At 38.8% G+C, this 14,311-nt stretch overlaps 1 long non-coding RNA gene across 1 annotated transcript; it reads right to left on the bottom strand.

Moving 5' to 3' along the window:
* Positions 1-12,373: 12,373 nt before the first annotated feature.
* LOC105377963 (uncharacterized) lies at positions 12,374-14,026 on the bottom strand. The gene is made up of 3 exons (XR_942910.3): positions 13,855-14,026; positions 13,673-13,751; positions 12,374-13,328 (listed from the first exon to the last, which is right to left on the bottom strand). It is a non-coding gene; the product is annotated as an uncharacterized LOC105377963 (long non-coding RNA).
* Between the last annotated feature and the right edge of the window lie 285 nt (positions 14,027-14,311).

Here is a 14,311-nt window from a genome sequence, read left to right as displayed (position 1 = left end):
TTTGTGTTCAGAATGTGGGAATATGAGATAATTTTATATTACCTATAATGTTATTTAACAATATATATTTTCAAACCCAATGGGGTCTATTGAAATGCACATAAGACAAGAATAAGATGTTCCTGGTCAACTTACAGCTGTATTGCCACTAATTACACTAGAAACGTAATAAATGTGAACTGGATGTCCTAAAAGCACAATCACTTTCTAATAAATGAAATGCCAGTTGCCATTGTCTGGAGGCTGAGAAAAATCATGAAAAAACACATGCCTGAAACCATGTATATTTTTAGTGAAAAGACTATCGTAGAATGTTATTAGATTAACTTTTGTGTGAGTGACTTTAAACTCTTAATTGGATTCCAGGCATGTCAGACATAGGCAAAATGGCTCTAATTGCCTCACTTTTCCTTCTGACGCTTGAGAATAGCCCATATTTAGGCTTTTTAACAACCAAAAGATAAAGAAAAAGGACAGAAAGAAAAATATATATATTTGAGCTACAGAATACAGACTGTGAGATAGTTGAGGGCAGTGGGAGGACGACTCTAGGAACTTAGAAAATTCCCCATTCTTCGGTTATTTGTAGAACAGTTTGAAGATACTGCTGCCACCTTGTGGCAATTACATTTTTACTTTTTATTTATAGACAGAATAGTGTAACTGGAACTAAGACCCTCATGGAATATTTGTAGAACAATTTCGTGATAAACACTAATATCGATGTTTCCGTTTATCATAACAGTGAGGAATACAGGCGACAAAACTAAAAAATATATTTTACGGCCGGGCGCGGCACTTTGGGAATCGCAGCACTTTGGGAATCGCAGCACTTTGGGAGGCCGAGGGGGGTGGATCACCAGAGGTCAGAAGTTCGAGACCAGCCTGCCCAAAGTGGCGAAACCCCATCTCTACTAAAATTACAAAAATTAGCCGGGCGCGGTGGCGGGTCTCTGTAGTACTAGCTACTCTGTAGGCTGAGGCAGGAGAATCGCTTGAACCCGGGAGGCAGAGGTTGCAGTGAGCCGAGATCACGCCATTGCACTCCAGCTTGGGAAACAAGAACGCAACTCCGTCTCAAACAAAAAAAAAAATAGTGGGCATAAGTAATTAAGACATGGTTTAGAAGAGAAGAATTTGGCTTTAAATTGATTATCAGAAAAAAAATACAACTTTTAATTGGCAGGTCAATAATCCCTCATTCCGAGCTTTCATACATATTGCTTCCTTAGGGAAAAGTGGTTATTTAAAAAAAAAAATTGTCCTTTAACCAGCCTGGCCAACATGCTGAAACCCCGTCTCTACTAAAAATACAAAAATTAGCGCTCCTGTATTCCCAGCTACTCGGTAGGCTGAGGCAGGATAATCCCTTGAGCCTGAGAGGCGGAGGTTGCAGTGAGCTGAAATTGCACCACTGCACTCCAGCCTGGAAGACAGAACAAGACCCTGTCTCAAAAAAAAAAAATTGTCCTTTCTTCCAAATATTCTAATTATAATGCATAAGAATAAAATCATCATTGCCGGGCGCGGTGGCTCGCGCCTGTAATCCCAACACTTTGGGAGGCCGAGGCGGGCAGATCACGAGGTCAGGAGATAGAGATCATCCTGGCTAAAGCCGTGAAAACCCGTCTCTACTAAAAATACAAAAAAAAAAAAAAATAGCCAGGCGTGGTGGCAGACGCCTGTAGTCCCAGCTACTCTGGAGGTTGAGGCAGGAGAATGGCATGAACCCAGGAGGCAGAGCTTGCAGTGAGCGGAGATTGCACCACTGCACTCCAGCCTGGGCGACAGAGCAAGACTCCATCTCAAAAAAAAAAAAATCATCATTAAATATTTTTTAACTTTTTCACTATTTATTCATTCATTAAACATTTTCCAGTGTTACAATATTCAACCCTTGGTACAAGCAACAAGAAAAATTATTTCAGCATTTCAAATATCTTTCATAATGTGCGTGTGTCCTGGCTCACTGGTGGTTACAATAAACACTAAATAAAAACATCATCTGATTTTCCCAGCTTAACTCTTTGTACTCAGCACTAAATTCAACTGTTTCTTTGCTGCTAAAGATATACTTGCATTTTCAACATATAAATGAAATAAAAATTACAATTTCAAAGTCTTTAAAACTCTTCATTAGAAATGTATGCATCATATAAAGTTAGTTTCCTGGAGCAAAGCCTCAGGTGCTCCATGCTGATCATAGCTGTGGCCTTCATGGAAGGAAATTATGTGAAACGCTAGAGCTTCAGAGCTAAATCAAACCCTGGTGTCTGACTTGTCTAACAAATCAAGCAGAAAAAAAAATCTCAACAAAAAGTGGGCAAAGGACTTGAATAGACAAGTCTCAAAAGAAGACATACAAATGGCCAACAAATATATGAAAAAATGCTCAATATCACTAGTTGTCAGGGAAATGCAAATTAAAACCACAATGAGATACCACCTTACTCCTGCAAGAATGGCCATAATTTAAAAAATCAAAAAATAATAAATGTTGGCATGGATATGGTGAAAAGTGAACACTTTACACTACTGGTGAGATTGTAAACTAGTACAACCACAATGGAAAACAGTATGGAGATTCCTTAAAGAACTAAAAGTAGAACTACCATTTGATCCAGCAATCCCACTACTGGGTATCTACCCAGAGGAAAAGAAGTCATTATATGGAAAAGATACTTGCACATACATGTTTATAGCAGAACAATTGGCAACTGCAAAAATATGGAACCGGCCTAAACGCCCATCAACAAACAATTGAATAAAGAAAATGTCATATATATATATATATATATATGGACACAAAGACATGAGAACGATATAATGGACTTTGGAAACTCAGGGGGAAGATTGGGAGGAGGTGATGGATAAAAGACTACACATTTGGTACAGCGTACACTGCTTGGGTGATGGGTGCACCAAAAATCTCAGAAATCACGACTAAAAAACTTTTCCATGTAACCAAAAAACCACCTGTTTCCCAAAAACTATTGAAATAAATTTTTTATCCAGGACCAGATGGATTCATAGCTGAATTCTACCAGAGGTACAAGGAGGAGCTGGTACCATTTCTTCTGAAAGTATTCCAATCAATAGAAAAAGAGGGAATCCTCCCTAACTCATTTTATGAGGCCAGCATCATCCTGATACCAAAGCCTGGCAGAGACACAACCAAAAAAGAGAATTTTAGACCAATATCCCTGATGAACATCGATGCAAAAATCCTCAATAAAATACTGGCAAACCAAATCCAGCAGCACATCAAAAAGCTTATCCACCATGATCAAGTGGGCTTCATCCCTGGGATGCAAGGCTGGTTCAACATACACAAATCAATAAAAGTAATCCAGCATATAAACAGAACCAAAGACAAAAACCACATGATTATCTCAATAAATGCAGAAAAAGCTTTTGACAAAATTCAACAACCTTCAGGCTAAAAACTCTCAATAAATTAGGTATTGATGGGACGTAGCTCAAAATAATAAGAGCTATCTATGACAAACCCACAGCCAATATCATACTGAATGGGAAAAAACTGGAAGCATTCCCTTTGAAAACTGGCACAAGACAGGGATGCCCTCTCTCACCACTCCTATTCAACATAGTGTTGGAAGTTCTGGCCAGGGCAATCAGGCAGAAGAAGGAAATAAAGGGTATTCAATTAGGAAAAGAGGAAGTCAAATTGTCCCTGTTTGCAGATGACATGATTGTATATCAAGAAAACCCCACTGTCTCAGCCCAAAATCACCTTAAGCTGATAGGTAACTTCAGCAAACTCTCAGGATACAAAATCAATGTGCAAAAATCACAAGCACTCTTATACAACAATAACAGACTAACAGAGAGCCAAATCATGAGTGAGCTCCCATTCACAATTGCTTCAAAGAGAATAAAATACTTAGGAATCCAACTTACAAGGGATGTGAAGGACCTCTTCAAGGAGAACTACAAACCACTGCTCAGTGAAATAAAAGAGGATACAAACAAATGGAAGAACATTCCATGCTCATGGGTAGGAAGAATCAATATCGTGAAAATGGCCATACTGCCCAATTTTTAGATTCAATTCCATCTCCATCAAGCTACCAATGACTTTCTTCACAGAATTGGAAAAAACTACTTTAAAGTTCATATGGAACCAAAAAAGAGCCTGCATTGCCAAGTCAATCCTAAGCCAAAAGAACAAAGCTGGAGGCATCATGCTACCTGACTTCAAACTATACTACAAGGCTACAGTAACCAAAACAGCATGGTACTGCTACCAAAACAGAGATATAGACCAATGGAACAGAGCAGAGCCATCAGAAATAATGCCACATATCTACAACTGTCTGATCTTTGACAAACCTGACAAAAACGAGAAATGGGGAAAGGATTCCCTATTTAATAAATGGTGCTGGGAAAACTGGCTAGCCCTATGTAGAAAGCTGAAACTGGATCCCTTCCTTACACCTTATACAAATATTAATTCAAGATGGATTAAAGACTTACATGTTAGACCTAAAACCATAAAAACCCTAGAAGAAAACCTAGGCAATACCATTCAGGACATAGGCATGGGCAAGGACTTCATGTCTAAAACACCAAAAGCAATGGCAACAAAAGCCAAAATTGACAAATAGGATCTAATTAAACTGAAGAGCTTCTGCACAGCAAAAGAAACTACCATCAGAGTGAACAGGCAACCTACAGAATGGGAGAAAATTTTTGCAATCTACTCATCTGACAAAGGGCTAGTATCCAGAATCTACAATGAATTCAAACAAATTTACAAGAAAAAAACAAACAACCCCATCACAAAGTGGGCGGAGGATGTGAACAGACACTTCTCAAAAGAAGACGTTTATGCAGCCAAAAGACACATGAAAAAATGCTCATCATCACTGGCCATCAGAGAAATGCAAATCAAAACCACAATGAGATACCATCTCACAACAATTAGAATGGCGATCATTAAAAAGTCAGGCAACAACAGGTGCTGGAGAGGATGTGGAAAAATAGGAACACTTTTACACTGTTGGTGGGACTGTAAACTAGTTCAAGCATTGTGGAAGACAGTGTGGCAATTCCTTAGGGATCTAGAACTAGAAATACCATTTGACCCAGCCATCCCATTACTGGGTATATACCCAAAGGAATATAAATCATGCTGCTATAAAGACATATGCACACGTATGTTTATTGTGGCACTATTCACAATAGCAAAGACTTGGAACCAACACAAATGCCCATCAGTGATAGACTGGATTAAGAAAATGTGGCACATATACACCATGGATGAAGCTGGAAACCATCATTCTCTGCAAATTATCGCAAGGACAAAAAACCAAACACTGCATGTTCTCACTCATAGGTGGGAATTGAACAATGAGAACACATGGACACAGGAAGGGGAACATGACACACTGGGGCCTGTTATGGGGTGGGGGGAGTGGGGAGGGATAGCATTAGGAGATATACCTAATGTTAAATGAAGAGTGAATGGGTGCAGCACACCAACATGGCACATGTATACATACGCAACAAACCTGCACTTTGTGCACATGTACCCTAAAACTTAAAGTATGATAAAAATAAAAAAGTAAATTAAAAAATTTTTTTAAAAATAAATTTTTAGAAAGGTAAAAAGAATAAATAAATATTTTAATTTAAATAAATAAGCTTCATAATATCTAGTATTGCACTGTTTTAGACATTTAATTTCTAAAAATGGAGATTATTCTTTTTTCCCCATTTGTGTGTAGGCAGGGTTAATGAAGATTGTTCCTATCATTAAAAATGACTAATGGATTCTAAAAGTACTAAAATGTTTAAAACCTGCAAAATATTTCATCCAAGCGGCAGAGAACAAATAGTCCACAGGATGGACTTTAAGGAATAACATGAGGATTAGTTGCAGGGGAGTTAAGAGAATAAAGTTACTTTATTATTGTGCTCTATCAAGTTCCACTTTTCATCTATAATGAATGCAATATTTTTATTCACTTCCATTCAGAAATTCCACTTCTAGGTAAATACCCCAAAACAAACTATTGCACATGTACCCAATGAGATTTGTCAAGAACACTCATTGAAACATCTTTTACAATAGTAAAAAATTGGAAAACAGAATAGGCAAGCAATATATTAAAATATAGGAGACTACAGAGCATGTAAAATGAACGTATTAGTGCAACAGTAGTAATATAGATACATATCATAGACATTGTTGAATAATGAAAACATTTGTTAGAAACATTTGTTGAGTAATGAAAACAATGTTAGAACATTGTGATCTCACCCCAGGGAAGCCTCCTAGTGATTGCTGAGGTTGAGGGAAGAAAACAAAACTGAACCTACTTGGCCCAGCCCCTTCTATGAATCTTGCTGCCTGCAAAGAGGAAGGACACATTCTGGTCTATTCCTTATGCCATTCATTTCATAAAGTAGACTCTGGCATGGTTGGGGGTCTGCCAGGTCCAGGTAGTCTAGGACTTGATGAGTCAGTCAATTTCATTCTAGGGCTCAGTACTAGGAAGGAAGTACTTGCCTGCAGATGCCATATCTTCCAATCAACTTTATGAATAATAAAGGTAAACTTTGCTTTCCTATTAGCAGACTATTCTTTCATATCTCAACTGCTTTAAAATTGGCAGGAAACAGAGGTGTCATTTATTGAGCCTCCTCACACAGCCTGATATTCTATAATTATTATAATAGCCATAGTATGTATTTAGTGACTAATACTGACTTTAACATTTTTAATGTATTTTATTATGTAATTTACATTTTAGTCTTTCCCTAAAATTTTATGTTTTTCTCCTTTGTGTACTCTTTGTACATTTTTGTGCATTTATACATTGTGATAGAGATTCATCTTGTACTTAATGCAACCAATTACTATATGAGGCAGGACATTTTTCACTTACATGTAGCTAAATTTATTTTATAAAAGCAATTATGATAGCATATATAAAAGTGACCTTACAATTCAATTTTTAAATAAAGCACTTACACAACTAGCAAGTGCTTCAAGCACTTATTTAAAGAGTCTCTTAGAGCAGTCCAGCTTTTTAGGAACTAGCTTTGAAGATTTTAGATGACTATTAGAAAAAAGTTGGAAACACTTCAAACTCAGAACATAATGGTAGTAATAGAAATAAAGATGCTGAAGTACATGAGTTTCCATCACCATCAAAATTTTTTGCATGATTTTAACAGAGCTTTATCATTGAATTAATACATCTCACTCTGTAGGTGCCATAAATTATTTCTCTTTAGAGTTATTATTTAGTCAAAGTAGACACTGACATTCCAAAAACAATTAAGTATATACTCAAGCAGGCAGCTGTTTTGATTTTTAAGGTTTGATTTTTGGATAGCATAGTATAGATAGATTTTGGTTAGATATGTACAGTGCTAGACCTCTGAGAGTAAATGTTTGACATTTTGCAGTTGAATGAAAGAAGAAAAGGAATGAGCAAAATATAATCACTGATTTTTAATTCCTAAAGCATTCTGTACCTTAGGTTATCCAGTTTCAATTTTGAAAAACTTCCCTAAATTTTGGTACTTTAACCCAACACAGAGGTCTTGTTAGAGAGCACTGATAATTAAATGATTTTTGGTAACAGTTCCTTGCCAATTATTTTTAACAAATTTTATGGTAAATTTTAGTTATCATGATGATAAATTATTGTTAGTATTTGTAGATGGTGGTATAGTAAGAAATATGCAAAAAAAAGCTTACACTGCAAATTGGAAATCAGTAAGAGTAGTCTCAAGTAAAAAGTTTGGAACAGGAAAAAAAATTATTTTGATGAGTTGATTTTTATCCCTGAATAGGCAGAATGTTCAAATATGTTGGTTTCCAATTTCGAAGAGAACATGGCCATATAATCCAAGAGAGAGACAAGTGGCTTAGAGCAGTTAAAGAGGAATTGTACCAATGCATGTAGGACAAGAGGTAGTTGTCTTAAGGTAATCTGAGGTGGCATCATTCGTGGTGATTATGAGAACAACCTTCTTTTACTGTAACTACTTAGGTAGGAAATTACATTGTATATCTATTACGAGTGTGATTAATTTTGCAAGACCATTTACATGTATGTTTATGAGGGGGTAGTATAGGATGAGGAGCTGGAGAAGCACTAGCAAGTCATCAGAAAATTCTATGCAGGCTGGGTGCGGTGGCTCACGCCTGTAATCCCAGCACTTTGGGAGGCTAAGGCGGGCAGATCACCTGAGGTCGGGAGTTCAAGACCAGCCTGATCAACATGGAGAAACCCCGTCTCTACTAAAAAAAAAAAAAAAAAAAAAACAAATTAGCCAGGTGTGGTGGCACATGCCTGTAATCCCAGCTACTTGGGAGGCTGAAGCAGGAGAATCGCTTGAACCTGGGAGGTGGAGGTTGCAGTGAGCCGAGATCGTGCCACTGCACTCCAGCCTGGGCAACAAGAGCAAGACTCCATCTCAAAAAAAAAAGAAAAAGAAAAAGAAAATTCTATCCAAGCATGCAGATTTGAACCATGTAGTCATTATTGTGGATTAAGGATGGAAAGCCTGTAGCAGATTCAATTTCTTGGAATGATAAAATGCTAACTTTGTCATGCAAAATTGTTACTCAGAGCTTAAGAGTTTGAAATTAATCATGGGGGCCAGAGGCTGCTTCACCATAAAGTGATTAGGCAATTGCACACAATCTAACATATATAAGACAGTCTTGATAGCTACTGAACTAGACTACATAACTAGACAAACATAAGCTTTCCACTAAAGAATGTGAGTGACATAGCCCTTGCAAATGGACACATGATTTTTGCTGTCCTGGAGGGGCAGTGAATAAACCGTTCGAATGTGCATGCATTTCAGATTTGCAACTTCTAAAGCAAAAGCTTTGTATTATTGAAAATATGAAAGGCTTTGAATAGTTCTTATCTGCAGGAGTAGTTAATCAAACCTCCTTTCTCCTGAATGTATTTCTCAGACTAAAACAATGGGACAAAAAGCAACTCGACCAACTCAGTCATCCCTAATGAGCACTGGTCACACATACAATTTTTACCCCAACCCTCCAAGCCAGAACTAAATCGTTATGTTAGTTGATAGCTGCTGTACATCACTATTAGTACCACAGAGTAATTAAATGTCACCTACCTTCCTGTGGTTAGTGACATTTTGTGTCTAGGGATATAACAAGGACAGAGAATTTGAATCAGACCATGCAAAGTATCAAAACAGAAGACTTTGGAAGAATCCTCCCAAAATCATTGTGATTTTTTTCAGGGCTGTTTTTTCTGTTTTGTATTGTTTTGTTTTGTTTTGTTTTGTTTTGTTTTGTTGAGACAGGGTCTCACTCTGTCACCCAGGCTAGAGCGGAGTGGTGCGATCTTGGCTCACTGCAACCTCTGCCTCCCAGGCCCAAGCAATCCTCCCACCTCAGCCTCCTGAGTAGCTGGGACTACAGGCATGCACCACCATGCCCGGCTTATTTTTTAATTTTGTGTAGAGACGAGGTCTCATTATATTGCCTAGGCTGGTCTGGAACTCCTGGGCTCAAGCAGTCCTCCTGCCTCAGCCTCTCAAAGTGTTGGGATTACAGGTGTGAGCCCCTATGCCTGGCCTCAGGGCTGCTTTTGTATTCTGTGGATAGAGATTTGAGAGCTAGGGTTAGAAAAAGAATATGGAAGAGCTTGGCACCATGAAAGTTTTGCATGATTACAACCATGTTTTAGAAAGCTCTCTGCAGGCTATGCAAAGGAAGGATTGGAGAAAGAATTAACCAGAACTGGGGAAAATACTTTGGAGGTCATTATAATAGGATGGTTGAGAGGTAATAAAAGACTGAACTACAAAAATAAAACTGGGAATCAAGAGGAGTAACATGAAAACCTGTAAGTAGAGCTCATTGATCTTCCTTGATATCTCATTTTGAGCAGAACTATAGGGTAAAGAGCCAGACCACCAAGGGCTGAGGTATAAACAGGAAAAGACAAAAACAGACACAGTTAAAAATATGCTTCTTTTTTGAGAGCTTTGTTGGAATGAGATCAGGCAATATCTGTCATCCATCCATTCCTTTATCCAATACATATTTGAGAATCTGCAAATGTGCTAGGTACTGTGCTATATCCTGACCATCATATAGTGATGCCCCAAGACCATCAGGGTTTCCCTGGTCATGGAGACTGCATTCCGAGACAGAGCATGTATGCAAACACACAGAGAATGGCAATTGCCAAGGAGAAAACAAGGTAATGAAATAGAGGGTGGGAGGAGGGGTGGGGCAACTTTTGCTAGGTTGGACAGGAAAGGCCTCTAGGAGGTGGTGACAGCTATACTGAGACCTAAAAAATGAGGAAGATGGCCGGGCGTGGTGGCTCACACCTGTAATCCCAGCACTTTGGGAGGCCGAGGCAGGCGGATCACGAGATCAAGAGATTTAGACCATCCTGGCCAACATAGTGAAACTCCATCTCTACTAAAAATACAAAACTTAGCTGGGCATGGTGGCACGCATCTGTAGCCCCAGCTGCTCAGAACGCTGACGCAGGAGAATTGCTTGAACCCAGGAGGCAGAGGTTGCAGTGAGCCGAGACTGCGCCACTGCACTCCAGTCTGGGCGACAAAGAGAGACTCTGTCTCAAAAAATAAAAAATAAAAATAAGTGAGGAAGAGGTGAGCATGTGAGCTGAAAGGCAATGCAAAGACCCTGACATGAGAGCAAGCTTTCCCTATTTGAGAAAGTCAAAGGAGATGCATGTGACTGGACCATATAGAAAAGAGACAGTGGCTGGAGTTGAGCTTGGAGAGGTAGGCAGGTCCAGATCATACAGGGCCCTGTAGACCCTGGTAAAGAGTTTCCATTTTATTCTAAGCACAATGTGCTTGGAACCACTGGAATGTTTTGCCAGGATAAACAGATGATTTGATTTATGGTTTGTTTTTTTTAAAAAAAAGATTACAACCAGAACAAGTTTTGATGTTATCATCAGCTCTGACCCTAAGAACCCAGGCCAAATTAAGACCTTTGGCATCCTCAGTGCTGAAAATGTTATGGCCTTCATCAACCCCTATGTAAATACATATTTAGAAAACAAGTGTGAGGACATTTTACAAATTTCTGGTGCTCCCGTGAGGATTTTGTTTGTTTGTTTTTTGTTTTTTTGTTGTTGTTGTTGTTTTAATTCCAAATTTCAGAATAATTTCAAAACGCTCCCTCATGTTTTCAGTGCCCTTCCTGTTGCTGGTGTCCTAAGCGTATGCTTAGTGCCTAATGAATAATCGGGCCCTCATTTGGACCACCCACTTAATAAGGTTACCCCAAGCACTGGAAACCCCTGTGAGCTGAGTCTAAACTGTCACTTTAGCACTTTCCTTACAGAAAGACTAGCAGGGGATTGAAAAACAAGTTAGTTAAGGTCCCGCTCAGGCCTTCCTTTGGGAGCGGGTCATTTCCTGATGAGGGAACCTCATCCCAGCCAGACTGAGAGCTCCTGGGGGCAGCTCTGCAGCTCTATCTTTGCATCCTCTGCTTTAGTCCAGCAAGAAGCACACAGCTTCCAACTAAGAAAAAAAAATTACCTACACTCTGCAGTGTTTATGGAATTACTTTATTTAAAATCTAGTCCTAGTTATAACAGTGTATCTTAAGTAACTACATTAGCTATAGAAAAGGAAAATGTGAGCCATTCTAATCAAAAACAAGGCTTGAAGGAAAAATACTGACAATCATATGTTCAAACAAACTGCAAATTACATGAATCTTTGAAATGAAAAATAACATAGAACACAGTGAGTAAACGAAAACTGCATGGATTAATAAGCTCTGTAATGAACAGAGATTTTTGTTTGGTTACCTGCTATAATCTCAGAAATAAAACAGTATCCAGCACATAGGAAGCACTCAGTCAATATTTGTTCAGTGAATAAATGTGCTGGCTAGGCGTGGTGGCTCACGCCTGTAACCCCAGCACTTTGGGAGGCATAGGCGGGCAGATCGCCTGAGGTCAGGAGTTCCAGACCGGCCTGGCCAACATGGTGAAACCCCGTCTCTACTAAAAAACTACAAAAATTAGCTGGGTGTGGTGGCAGGCACCTGTAATCCCATTACTTGGTAGGCTTAGGCAGGAGAATCGCTTGAACCCAGGAGGCAGAGGTTGCAGTGAGCCGAGATCGCACCACTGCACTCCAGCCTGGGCAACAGAGGGAAACTCCATCTCAAAAAATTAAATAAATAAAATAAAAATGTGCTGTCCTCATTAGAAAAAGAAATAAAGGAATATAATTACTGTATTATTATATTAAAAGTTTATTCAAATTTTTTTTTACTTGTTCTAATTATAGAACTGAAAAAAATCTCTAATGCAGCTGTAAGTAATTTATTTATGTAGACTACTGCCAAATAGTGATATTTTAATCCCATCAGGAATAGAGAACAGCAAATTGTTCTTTCTCTCATGACTTGAGCTTATTCTGTTGACCTGTAGTTCTGCAATACTGGAGAAGCTCGAAATAGAAAATCCTGTGTATATTTATGACATTTGATTCCCTCCAGGGAAATAAACTTATTTCCCTTGTTTAATATTTCTTAGTGAATTATTAACGATTGGTTGTTTCTCAGTGATGGCTTTCTCTAGCTCTATGGATACTCCCTCTCAGTGATGTGAAGACAAATAAAATACTAATAGAAAAAACCACATTTAAATAATGCAAGAATCTTCAAGTACCATAATGCTGGAGCAATATTAGCTATGGCAACATACTTTCTCAGGCAGGAATTCATTCAGTTGAGTTTTATAAACACTTATTTGGAGACCGCTATGTGGTAAGCAACATGATAGACACTGAAAGTATGAAGTTTAAAAGGACATAGAATGTCCTCAAGCATCTCAGTCTTTTCGTAAACTAGCCTAGGTGCAGACTATTCTGTTTTCGAAGACTTGTATTCATCTATTCATTTATTTAACAAATACTTATTAAATATCTACTAAGTGCCAATTTTTCAGCTATATCTTGGGAATATAATCACAACTCCTGAAGGTCAGGGAGCTCCTAGTTCCCCACAGGAGATTTCATAAATTAAAATGCCCTTGTGTTTTGGGACTAAAGAATGTGACGGGGAAAGAAATCATTATCTTCTGAAGTATTATTACACACCAGGCACATTTAGAAGGACATTGCTAACCATGGTTTCTAAATATCTTCTCACTCTACTCCTGCTTATTCTTTTTCACCTTGTTTTATTTTTCTTCATCTTCACCTGATGTCATCACTGCTCCATCCCCAGCTCTGAGAGGTAGCTGGCACGTAGCTGGTTACTGGTAGTCATTGCATGAATAAACCTAAAAGATAGGAATTCTGGTTTTACAAAAGAGACCAAGACTTATAACTTAAATGATTTACTGCTCATGATTGTGCAACTTTTAAGTCACAAATCCGGGATTTAAACCTAGGTGTGAAGGCAAAGCCCATGTTCCTTCTGCAAGCGCTCCTCTAAATGTATGTCTTCACAGAGCTATTAACCCCTCTTTTTTTGTTTAACACGGTTATGTAAAAAGAAAAAAAAACTGAGCTGGCAGTTACAGAAAAGTTATAGCTTTCAAGAGCCTGACAGTCTAGTTAGGAAGCAAAATATCTAGAAATCCAACAAGTGCAAAGCAGTGTCTAGATAAGGAGGGAAACTCACAGGCAGTAATAGCAGAGGAGGGTGAGCTCGGCCTGGTGCTGGGCTGATGAGCACTTTGACTTGGCAGGAGGTCTGTTGTCTGTGGAACAAGATAAGTAAATTGCTTGTACAACCCTTCTCTCCAATCATTGAATCTGAATCCCTGTTACCATTTAATGCCTGAAAATAGTAGATTCTTTTACCTTTTAGCATAGAGGAGATGGTGGAAGGTGACAGAAGAAAGGCACATTTTGAAGGGAGTGTGGAGAGTTTGTGGGCTAAGAGATGAAGAGGTAGGAAGCTGGCATGGCGGCTCATACGTGTAATCCCAGTGCTTTGGGAGGCAGAGCCCAGCTGATAGCTTGAGGCCAGGAGTTGGAGACCAGTCTGGACAACATAGTGAGATCCCATCTCTTAAAAAAAAAAAAAATAGCGGAGCGTGCTGGCGCACGACCAAAGCCCTAGCTACTCTGGAGGCTAAGGTGGGAGGACTACTTGAGTCCAGGAGTTCGACGTTACAATGAGCTATCAGCATGCCACTGCACTTTAGCCTGAGTGACAGAGCCAGAGACTGTCTCTGAAAAGAAGAAGAAAAGATAGAGAAAGGCACTTGGAGGAATTGAGATTGTTTTCCGTAGGAAAGAGAAAAGGTATGGGGGT

The sequence above is a fragment of the Homo sapiens genome, chromosome 6 (genome assembly GCF_000001405.40).
Source record: "Homo sapiens chromosome 6, GRCh38.p14 Primary Assembly".
Lineage (NCBI taxonomy): Eukaryota > Metazoa > Chordata > Mammalia > Primates > Hominidae > Homo > Homo sapiens.
This window is presented reverse-complemented; position numbering and strand designations above follow the sequence as displayed.